At 52.3% G+C, this 10,039-nt stretch overlaps 1 protein-coding gene across 3 annotated transcripts, besides 5 other annotated features; it reads right to left on the bottom strand.

Moving 5' to 3' along the window:
• Positions 13-634: an enhancer, noted in NCBI's record as "H3K27ac-H3K4me1 hESC enhancer chr12:56399919-56400540 (GRCh37/hg19 assembly coordinates)". NCBI's record gives its function as "activates a minimal SCP1, AML or CMV promoter by ChIP-STARR-seq in naive H9 embryonic stem cells {active_cell/tissue: H9 hESC(naive)}" and the evidence as "EXISTENCE:reporter gene assay evidence [ECO:0000049][PMID:30033119]".
• On the bottom strand, positions 1,244-9,493 carry SUOX (sulfite oxidase). Of its 3 annotated transcripts, NM_000456.3 has the most exons (6): positions 9,430-9,493; positions 9,046-9,154; positions 7,311-7,436; positions 4,498-4,557; positions 4,049-4,226; positions 1,244-3,151 (listed from the first exon to the last, which is right to left on the bottom strand). In NM_000456.3, exons 4-6 carry the CDS (start codon positions 4,545-4,547, stop codon positions 1,742-1,744), a joined length of 1,638 nt encoding a protein of 545 aa, NP_000447.2. In that variant the 5' UTR covers positions 4,548-4,557; positions 7,311-7,436; positions 9,046-9,154; positions 9,430-9,493; the 3' UTR covers positions 1,244-1,741. The 3 variants fall into 3 exon arrangements, with proteins under 3 accessions (NP_000447.2, NP_001027558.1, NP_001027559.1); NM_001032386.2 differs by lacking the exon at positions 7,311-7,436; NM_001032387.2 differs by lacking the exons at positions 7,311-7,436; positions 9,046-9,154.
• Positions 4,950-5,244: a silencer, noted in NCBI's record as "tiled region #2650; K562 Repressive non-DNase unmatched - State 16:ElonW". NCBI's record gives its function as "represses a minimal TATA promoter and a strong SV40 promoter by Sharpr-MPRA in K562 cells {active_cell/tissue: K562}" and the evidence as "EXISTENCE:reporter gene assay evidence [ECO:0000049][PMID:27701403]".
• Positions 5,950-6,140: a silencer, noted in NCBI's record as "fragment chr12:56394413-56394603 (GRCh37/hg19 assembly coordinates)". NCBI's record gives its function as "represses an EF-1alpha promoter that drives an FKBP-Casp9 reporter gene in an ReSE screen in K562 erythroleukemia cells {active_cell/tissue: K562}" and the evidence as "EXISTENCE:reporter gene assay evidence [ECO:0000049][PMID:32094911]".
• Positions 9,219-9,719: an enhancer, noted in NCBI's record as "H3K27ac hESC enhancer chr12:56390834-56391334 (GRCh37/hg19 assembly coordinates)". NCBI's record gives its function as "activates a minimal SCP1, AML or CMV promoter by ChIP-STARR-seq in primed H9 embryonic stem cells {active_cell/tissue: H9 hESC(primed)}" and the evidence as "EXISTENCE:reporter gene assay evidence [ECO:0000049][PMID:30033119]".
• Positions 9,444-9,633: a silencer, noted in NCBI's record as "silent region_4540". NCBI's record gives its function as "represses an Ori minimal core promoter by ATAC-STARR-seq in GM12878 lymphoblastoid cells {active_cell/tissue: GM12878}" and the evidence as "EXISTENCE:reporter gene assay evidence [ECO:0000049][PMID:35858748]".

The raw sequence follows: 10,039 nt of genomic DNA, 5'->3' as shown, positions 1-10,039 counted from the left end.
CCCAGCTACTTGGGAGGCTGAGGCAGGAGAATCGCTTGAACCCGGGAGGCGGAGGTTGCAGTGAGCCGAGATCGCACCACTGCACTCCAGCCTGAGCAATAGAGTGAGACTTCATCTCAAAAAAAAAAAAAAAAAAAAAAAAAAGCCGGGCTTGGTGGCTCACGCCTGTAATCCTAGCACTTTGGGAGGCCGAGGCAGACGTACTGCCTGAGCTCAGGAGTTCGAGACCAGCCTGGGCAACATGGTGAAACCCATCTCTACTAAAATACAAAAGAAATTAGCCGGGCGTGGCGGTGTGCGCCTGTCGTCCCAGCTACCTGGGAGGCTGAGACAGAATTGCTTGAACTCCGGAGACGGAGGTTGCAGTGAGCGGAGATCGTGCCACCGCACTCCTGCACTCCAGTCTGGGTGACAGAGCAAGACTCTGTCTCTACAAAAAAAAAAAAAAAAAAAGAGGCAAATGGTTGTATTCCACTCAAAGAAGGCAATCAGGTATGCATTTATCTCAGTGAGCAGAGGGATGACTTTGAATGGGAGGCAGGTTTACCCTAATCAGTTCCCAGCTTGACTTTTCCCTTTAGCTTAGTGATTCTGGGGCCTCAAGATTTATTTTGCTTTCACGACCTCCTAAGACAATATTGATTTTAAACTCCTAGCACCCTTTGCCTTTCCTGCCAAGTGCATTGGAACTGTTGGGGAAAGGAGTTGGAGGGTACATGTTTTTGTCACCTCTCCTCTCTTCATGGTATCCTGAGGTCAATCACCTAGGTGTCCCTGCAGATACTGCCAAACCTCAGAGAAGGAAGCCCCCCTTTTTTTGAGACAGAATCTCGCTTTGTCGCACAGGCTGGGGTGTAGTGGGTGTGATCTCGGCTCACTGCAACCTCTGCCTCCTTGGTTCAAGCGATTCTCCTGCCTCAGCCTCCCAAGTAGCTGGGATTACAGGCACCCACCACCACACCCAGCTAATTTTTGTATTTTTGGTAGAGACTGGGTTTTGCCATGTTGGCCAGGCTGGTCTCGAACTCCTGACCTCAAGTGATCCACCTGCCTTGGCCTCCCAAGTGCTGGGATTACAGGCGTGAGCCACTGTGCTCAGCCGGAAGCCCTACTTCTTAACCTACAAGCCTACTTCCTCTCTGTCTTCCTCCCCAGTTTTGTTTGTTTTGGTCTAATCTCATTATACATCCCAGTACAAATGCATCCTTCCTCCTGCAATAGGCTCACTCCCCAGGCCCAAGAGTTATGATCTTAAACAGACTATTTATTAGAAAAGTAGAACTATAAAGGGAGACGGTTGTGCCCCTTGCTCTCCTCGCAACTCTCTGGCAACCTGGAGAGGTAGTATAAGATAGTATATACACTTTTCTTACACATGCCACACACATTTCTCTGAACAATCCAAAAAGAAAAGCAAAACAAGGCCTTGATGGCAGTAGGCATTAGAAATGGAGGTGGGGTAGGAAGAGAAAATAGTGCTTGTCTCCAGAATTACTTTTTTCACTTCTAGCCCCTTGCTGTAACAGCTCACACTTCCTGGCACAGGTTCAAAGGCCAAGAGGGGTATGTAACATAGTGTCCAAAGAGGGAAGGTCCTTGGGTGAAATGTGCTATATGTGTACTTGGGTATGGCTTAGGAAGGCCAGAGTTGTGATCCAAGAAGTTGAAAGGTGGGAAAGATTTTTCTGAAGCAGTGAGGCTAATGGGTGGGGAAAGGGGTGGAGGTGGCTCCTTTCCATGCTCATGGGGAGACATAGACATGGACACGATGCCAGGCATTGCTGAGAACACCTCGCAGGTTCCAGATTGGGGCCACGGTGTCTGGCTGCACATTGTAACCATCATCCACAGCCTTACAAACAATGTTCAGTTCCTTTTGTCCAGCTGGCACAGGGGCTTTCAACTGCCACAGACGCCATGCCCAGGCCTTCCTGGGGCGCTGTTCCTCTCCATCCAGCTTAGCCACCTGCCAGGTTAGGCCCCCATCCAGAGACACATCCACCCGGATCACAGCCCTGCCACCACCACTCCATGCATAGCCCTTGATGGTCACCTCCCCTGATTCTACAGTCTCTCCATCCCGGGGCTCTGTGATGGCCGACTGGACAGGAAGTTCCTGAATGGATGGAGCAGAGTCAAAATCTACAGTCTCCCAGTCCACAGATGGAGAGAAGCCTTTGTAATCCCGCCGTTGCCAGTGGCTGTAACTTTCCTCTGGCTGCACACTCACTCTGCCCAGCCATTTGACATGGCGGGCACCCACCACTCCAGGAACCACCACACGCACAGGGAAGCCGTGGTCACGTGGCAGAGGCTGCCCATTCATCTCATATGCCAGCAGGACCTCAGCTTCAGGGTCCATGGCCCGAGCCAGAGGGATGGATGCTCCATAGGCAGTCCCAGTAGGGTCTGAGTCCAGTCCCTCAAAGCAGACGTGGGCCTCAGTTTCACAGAGTTGGTGGCCAGCCTGGGCTAACACATCACAGAGCCGTGCCCCAGCCCAGCGTGCAGTGCTGATGGCTCCTGTTCTCCACTCCAGACCTTTTACTTCTTTGACCTGAGTCATCTCAGAGCGTCGGTTGCCGGCACACTGCAGAGTGACTGTGATCTCGTACCTGGGAAAGTTGTGCAAGTCATCCAGGGAAAGAGACAGTGACTGACCCCCAGGTGCTCCTACTACGTGTAAGCGATAGGTGTCTGGATCCAGGTTAGGTACAGGCAGATGGTTCCGGGTGAAGAAGATAGGGTTGGGTGTGATGTAGTTTTCTGTCAGCAGCTCAGGGGGAGGCTCTGCATTAAAGGGCCGCTGGCTGTTGACCTTCAGGGCTGGGTGACGTACAGGATCATCAGCATAAGGGTCAGAGGTCTCCACGGTGGGGGCTACCTTGTCTTCAGGATTCAGCTCCCCAATCTTGTACTGAGCCAGTAACTCACGCACATGGGACTGGTTGTGAACAGCATAGAGGGCCCAGAAGGGCTCTAGGGGACCCCCAGCTGCTAGCATCAGCTTTGAAGGCCCCCCTGGATGTAGGTCCACAAATTCTGTGACATCAAAGACCTCAGAGCCCAGAGTCACCCAGATCCCAGTCTCAGGGCTGGTGTGGGAACTCACTTCCTCCTTAGTGTATATGTGTGTTGACTCCTGAGCAGCCTATTGGCAGGGAAGGAGTAAGATAAAAGGGAAGAGACTATTAAGAAGAAATCACTTGGTCGGGCGTGGTGACTCACAACTGTAATCCCAGCACTTTGGGAGGCCGAGGTGGGCGGATCACATAAGGTCGGGAGTTCAAGACCAGCTTGACCAACATGGAGAAGCCCTGTCTCTACTAAAAATACAAAATTAGCTGGGCATGGTGGTGCATGCCTGTAATCCCAGCTACTTGGGAGGCTGAGGCAGGAGAATCACTTGAACCCGGGAGGTGGAGGTTGTGGTGAGCTGAGATCATGCCATTGCACTCCAGCCTGGGCAACAAGAGTGAAACTCCATCTCAAAAAAAAAAAAAAGAAAAAATGAAGAAGAATAAGAAGAAATCACTTGAGCTCACCCTGACCCAACCCACGGTGTTGGCCACTGGGAAGCGAAGGTAGCAGATTAGCAGATTTCATCTCCACTGTGCATGAAGACTGCGTCACTGTGAACTCTGTGGTAACTACAAGAACATGGGTCACAGCCTGGGTTGCCTGTGGAGTTTACTAGGACTGATTCCTTTATTCTGACAATTTTTTTTTTTTTTTTGAGATGGAGTCTCACTCTGTCACCCAGGCTGGAGAGCAGTGGCCTGATCTTGATCTTGGCTCACTGCAGACTTAGCCTCCTGGGTTTAAGTGATTCTTGTGTCTCAGCCTCTCAAGTAGCTGAGATTACAGGTATGTACCACCACACCTGGCTAATTTTTACTAGAGATGGGGTTTTGCCATGTTGCCCAGGCTGGTCTCAAACTCCTAACCTCAAGTGACCCACCCACCTTGGCCTCCTATAGTGCTGGGATAACAGGCGTGAGCCACTGCACCCAGTCTGTTCTGACAATGAAGCACTTTCCCTACTTACCCTACACCGATGGTCCTGATAGGCCAACACTGCACCGAGACCTAATAGGGTCCCCATGACTCTCCATCCCTGGGTGCTGGAGTTATCACCAGAGAAGGTGAGGCTGGGGCGCTGGGGCTGAAATGAATCATTTGTGGAGCAGGCCTGAATGCAGATCCTTGAGGGGATTGACTTGAGTCTGGAAGAGAGGTCGGTCTTAGTAGCACGTATGGTCATGTGAAAGGGCTAGTGAAGGCTTGGGGTCTACTTCTTTCTCCCTGGTTGGCCATTGGTTCCTTAAGTTGGAACTTAGTTTCTCCAGGGATAGGTGGGAAAAGTGGGATCTGGCTTTCTCTGTCCTCCCTGGACACACTCTCTCAACTGTCTTATTTGCAAGGTATGACATTGTAAAAGACACTAAGGGTGGCAGATAGGGGCTAGGAGGCAAGTCCTGGGATGGGCTGGCCTACCTGCAGGCCTGTTGGAGCCTGAGGACCACAGCTCTGTGCAGCAGCAGCATTGTAGCAGACCTGTAGAAGGAAGATTCTGGGATCAAGATAGGGAGACCCTGGGAGGGGATATTAGGGAGGCCTAAGGGAATGGGTGAGAGGAAGACACAGAGAAGGTCAGCAAGGAGCTTTCTGGGCAAGTGAGGAGTCTTGAGAGTGGGAGTCCAAATGGGCCCTTAGAGAAAACTTGGAGCACTTCAGAGACAGACTGTGCTGACAGGATGGCAGGTAATGCGGGTGGGGAATGGGGTAGGAGGGATGGGTGCTTCTAGAATCAGAATCACCTTTCTCCCATCTTCCATTCTGAACTTTGTCCACCATAGAGAACGATGCCTGGGGCGAAGGGCCTAAAGGACCGAAACCAAATGTCTACTGGCCAGATTATTATTTCTGAAGTCAGCAGAGGACAACTGTGGGTCAGACTGACTTAAACAGGGATAAAAAAGTGAAAAAAAAGTAGTGACAGCCTAAATGGGTGAAGAAGCCCAGATTCTGGGGGCAAAATGCCTTGGGTTTGTGAAACTGGATCTCTTGTTATTCATTAACCAGCCCGATTTCCTGAGCAAGATTCCAAGCCGTTCTGAACTTGCTTCCTCATCTCTGAAATGACATCTGCCTAGCAGAGCTAACATGAAGAGCCAACAAGTACAGTAGTACCCCCTTATCCACTGGGGATATGTTCTACGACCCCCAGTAGATGTTTGAAACCACAGATTGCACCAAACCCTATATTACTGTTTTTTCCCCCATACATACATACCTCTTATAGTTTAATTACTAAATTACCCACAGTAAGAGATTAACAACAATGCCCGGCGCAGTGGCTCACGTCTGTAATCCCAGCACTTTGGGAGGCTGAGGCGGGCAAATCACCTGAGGTCAGGAGTTTGAGACCAGCCTGGCCAAAATGGGGAAAACCTGTCTCTACAAAAATTCAAAAATAAGCCAGGCATGGTGACACGTGCCTGTAACCCCAGCTACTCGGGAGGCTGAGGCAGGAGAATCACCTGAACCTGGGAGGTGGAGGTTGCAGTGAGCTGAGATCACGCCACTGCTCTCCAGTCTGGGCAACAGAGAGAGACTCCATCTCAAAAAAAAAAAAAAAAAAAAAAAAGAGAGATTAACAACAATAACAAAATAGAAAAATTAGCCCGGCGCAGTGGCTTACGCCTGTAATCCCAGCACTTTGGGAGGCTGAGACGGGCAGATCACGATGTCAGGAGATCGAAACCATCCTGGCTAACGCGGCGAAACCTCATCTCTACTAAAAATAGAAAAAAAAAAATTAGCCGGGCTTGGCGGCGGGCGCCTGTAGTCCCTGCTACTCCGGAGACAGGAGAATGGCGTGAACCCAGGAGGCGGAGGTTGCAGTGAGCCGAGATCGCGCCACTGCACTCCAGCCTGGGCGACAGAGTGAGACTCCGTCTCAAACGTCTCAAAAAAAAAACAAAGAAAAAGAAAAAAATTATAACATTATACTGTAATAAAAGAGCTGGGTGTGGTGGCTCACCCTTATAATCCTAGTGAGAAGTGACATTGTGCTGGCAGTCCTCACAGCCCTTGCTCACTCTCGGTGCCTCCTCTGCCTGGGCTCCCACTTTGGCGGCACTTGAGGAGCCCTTCAGCTCGCCGCTGCACTGTGGGAGCCCCTTTCTGGGCTGGCCAAGGCCAGAGTCGGCTCCCTCAGCTTGCAGGGAGGTGTGGAGGGAGAGGTGCGAGCGGGAACCGGGGCTGAGCGCGGAGCTTGCGGGCCAGCTGGAGTTCCGGGTGGGCGTGGGCTTGGCAGGCCCCGCACACGGAGCAGCCGGCTGGCCCTGCCGGCCCCGGGCAATGAGGGGCTTACCACCTGGGCCAGCAGCTGCGGAGGGTGTACTGGGTCCCCCAGCAGTGCCGGCCCACCAGCGCTGCGCTCGATTTCTCGCCGGGCCTTAGCTGCCTCCCCGCGGGGCAGGGCTCGGGACCTGCAGCCCGCCATGCCTGAGCCCCCCTTCGCCGTGGGCTCCTGTGGGGCCTAAGCCTCCCCGAGGAGCACCGACCCCTGCTCCACGGCACCCAGTCCCATCAACCACCCAAGGGCTGAGGAGTGCGGGCGCATGGCACCGAGACTGGCAGGCAGCTCCACCTGCAGCACCAGTGCGGGATCCACTGGGTGAAGCCAGCTGGGCTCCTGAGTCTGGTGGGGAGGTGGAGAACCTTCATGTCTAGCTCAGGGATTGTAAATACACCTATCAGCACCCTGTGTCTAGCTCAGGGTTTGTGAATGCACCAATCAACACTCTGTATCTAGCTACTCTGGTGGGGCCTTGGAGAACCTTTATGTCTAGCTCAGGGATTGTGAATACACCAATCAACACTCTGTATCTAGCTAATCTGGTGGGGATGTGGAGAACCTTTGTGTCTAGCTCAGGGATTGTAAACGCACCAATCAGCACCCTGTCAAAACAGACCACTCGGCTCTACCAATCAGCAGGATGTGGGTGGCACCAGATAAGAGAACAAAAGCAGGCTGCCCAAGCCAGCAGTGGCAACCCGCTTGGGTCCCTTTCCACACGGTGGAAGCTTTGTTCTTTCCCTCTTTACAATGAATCTTGCTGCTGCTCACTCTTCGGGTCCACACTGCCTTTATGAGCTGTAACATTCACTGTGAAGGTCTGCAGCTTCACTCCTGAGCCAGCAAGAGCACGAACCCACCAGAAGGAAGAAACTCCAAACACATCTGAACATCAGAAGGAACAAACTCCGGACACGCTGCCTTTAAGAACTGTAACACTCACTGCGAGGGTCCGCGGCTTCATTCTTGAAGTCAGTGAGACCAAGAACCCACCAATTCCGGACACACTAGCACTTTGGGAGACCTACACAGGAGGACTGCTAGAGGCCAGGAGTTGGAGACTCCGTCCCTACAAAATAAAAAGTTAGTTGGGCATGGTGGAGCGCACCTGTGGTCCCATCTACTCTGGAGGCTGAGAAGATCTAAGCCCAGGAGTTTGAGGTTACAGAGTGAGCTGACTGTGCCACTGCACTTCAGCTTGGGCAACAGAGAGCGAGACCCTGTCTCAAAACAAAAACAAAAAAAAGTTATATGAATGTGGTCTCTCTCTCAAAATATACTTTTTTTTGGCCAGTCATGGTGGCTCATGCCTATAATCCCAAAATTTTGGGAGGCCAAGGAAGGAGGATCACTTGACTCCAGGAGTTCAAGACCAGCTTGGGCAACATAGTGAGACTGTGTCTCTAGAAAAAAAAAAACAAATTAACTGGGCATGGTGGTGCCTGTCTGTAGTCTCAGCTACCGGGGTGGTGGGGAGAGGAGTGCTGAGATGAGAGGATGGCTTGAGTCCAGGAGGTCGAGACTGCAATGAATTATGATGGCGCCACCGTACTCCAGCCTGGGCAACAGGGCAAGACCTTGTCTCAAAAAAAAAAAAAGCCTGGGCGATGGAGCAAGTGTCGATCATGGCTCACTGAAGCTTCAACCTCTTGGGCTCAAGCCATCCTCCTGCCTTAGCCTCCCCAGCAGCTGGGACTACAAGTGTGTGTCACCAAGCCTGGCTAATTTTTCTGTAGACATGGGAGTCTATGTTGTCAGGGCTGGTCTTGAACTCCTGGCCTCTTGCTGCCTTAGCCCCCAAAGTGCTGGGATTACAGGCATGAGCCACTGTCCGGCTTCCCCTCCCCTCCCCCTGCCCCTGACAGGGTCTTGCTCTGCCCAGGCTGGAGTGCAGTGGCGTGATCTCAGCTCACTATAGCATCAAACTTCTGGGCTCAAGCCATCCTCCTGCCTCAACCTCCTGAGTAGCGGGGACCACAGGCGTGTGCCACCATGCATGGTCTTTTTTTTTTTTTTTTTGTAGAGATGAGGTCTTACTATGTTGCCCAGGCTGGTCTCAAACTCCTGGGTTCAAGTGATCCTTCAAACTTGGTCTCACAAAGTCCTGGGATTATTACAGGCATGAGCCACCACTCCCAGCCTCAAAATATCTTATTGTACTGTGTTCAACTATTTTCCAAGCGGTTGACCATAGCTAACTGAAACTCAGGAAAAGGAAACTTTGGATAAGGGGAGACTGCTGTAATAACATTGTCTTTGAAGGCTTTTCAGTCCCCAACTCTCCCTCCATTCACCCTAAAAAAAATTGAACCCAGCTGGGAACTGGACCCCAACCTAGGGTCCCGGACCACCTCAATCTTCTCTGTGCCACTGTAGTGAGCTCAGCAAATTGAGGAGTTAATGGCCAGAGTGTCAGGGGCAGGCTGGAGAAGGAAGGTAATTTTTCTGCTCTCTGCCCTGCAAGTTTCTTCCTCAAATTGCTGAACAGAGAGCACTGACCCAGCAGGGCCAAAGTGAGGAGGGGTGACAAATGTCTAAACTGCTGATGAGATGCTGGAGACCAATGTGCTGGGGTGGGTGGGTCGTGGGTAGGGAGGAAAGGAAACCTAGAGATGGGAATAGGAGCAGTCTTCACCTTGCCCCTGGGCCATGGGACCATTACTCTCTCTGCCACCTACCTCAATGCCAGCAGCCTGTTTGTACTAGACCAGAGCAGTGCAGGTAGGGCTGACTCGCAGGTGAACTCAGTGAGCCCAGAATCCCAGGTTTGGGAGGGACAGCCTTTTGCTGTAATACAGAAATGCCACCCGTTGGTGCAGGTGATGACCCCTCACTCCCCATGGGCACGTTAGGTAGGAACATACGTCCGGCATCCAGGCACAAAAGGGTCTTGCGGCAACACCCCGCGATCTCAAGAGCACCCAGACAGAAGGAGTGGAGGCAGGTACTGATAGTTTTGTTGCCCTTGAGGTTCGGAGCACAGCTGGACACCAAGGCCCCCTCCGCTGCCCAGCTCAGCAGCCCTTCCTCCCCAGCTTCTTTACCACCCCCAGTCTCCTTACCGGGTCCAGTGTCTTCAGCACTGCAATTTTACCAGCCCAGCTCTGCGAGTTCTCGAGAAGGGGCGGGGCCAGCGCCGTTATGTCCGGCTGCAGTAAGTGACCTCTCACTCCCCTCAGCTTATCCCTCAGCCATTGGCTGGAAGCGGGTGGCTCAACCATTGGCTGGAACCCGCCTCCTGGAGCCGAGACAGGCAGGTTGCTAAGAAGCCTGGGAGAAGAGGCTGGCTCTTTTTGCTGTCACTCTCGCCAACAGTCCGGAGTCCATTATACCCCTGGTGTGCAAAGAATGGGACCCTTGTGCACCAGGGCTGTATGTCCGGAGCTCGGGCAGTGTGGAAGGTGACAAGGAATCCAAAAGTTGGGCTGACAGGTGGGAGATTTTGAGACACCCCTGCCGCCCCTCCCTGGAGGAGGCCTCGGGATCCAGTCCGGTTTTCCCCGGCTGTGATCTCCACTTTAAACCCAGGGTAGACCTACCTCTATCTACTCTGTTGCAACTACAACTACCCTGTTTATCTTTTAGGGAAAGCAAAGTCAATCGCTTAGTTCTCGTATTCCAGGAATGATAACAGAAATGCCTAAAATAGTGGTTCCAAGAATTTGAGATTCC

This window comes from Homo sapiens, chromosome 12 (assembly GCF_000001405.40).
Source record: "Homo sapiens chromosome 12, GRCh38.p14 Primary Assembly".
Lineage (NCBI taxonomy): Eukaryota > Metazoa > Chordata > Mammalia > Primates > Hominidae > Homo > Homo sapiens.
The sequence above is the reverse complement of the archived record's forward strand: the minus strand, read 5'-3'. Positions and strand labels throughout refer to the sequence as shown.

Bases quoted from the DNA above. Each gene is read 5' to 3' on its own strand.
- SUOX (NM_000456.3), bottom strand. From the start codon at position 4,547: ATGCTGCTGCTGCACAGAGCTGTGGTCCTCAGGCTCCAACAGGCCTGC. The intron at 4,227-4,497 runs GTAGGCCAGCCC...CCTCTCTTCCAG, and splicing joins AGGCTCCAACAGGCCTGCAG to ACTCAAGTCAATCCCCTCAA. The intron at 3,152-4,048 runs GTAAGTAGGGAA...CCCTGCCAATAG, and splicing joins ATCAGGACCATCGGTGTAGG to GCTGCTCAGGAGTCAACACA.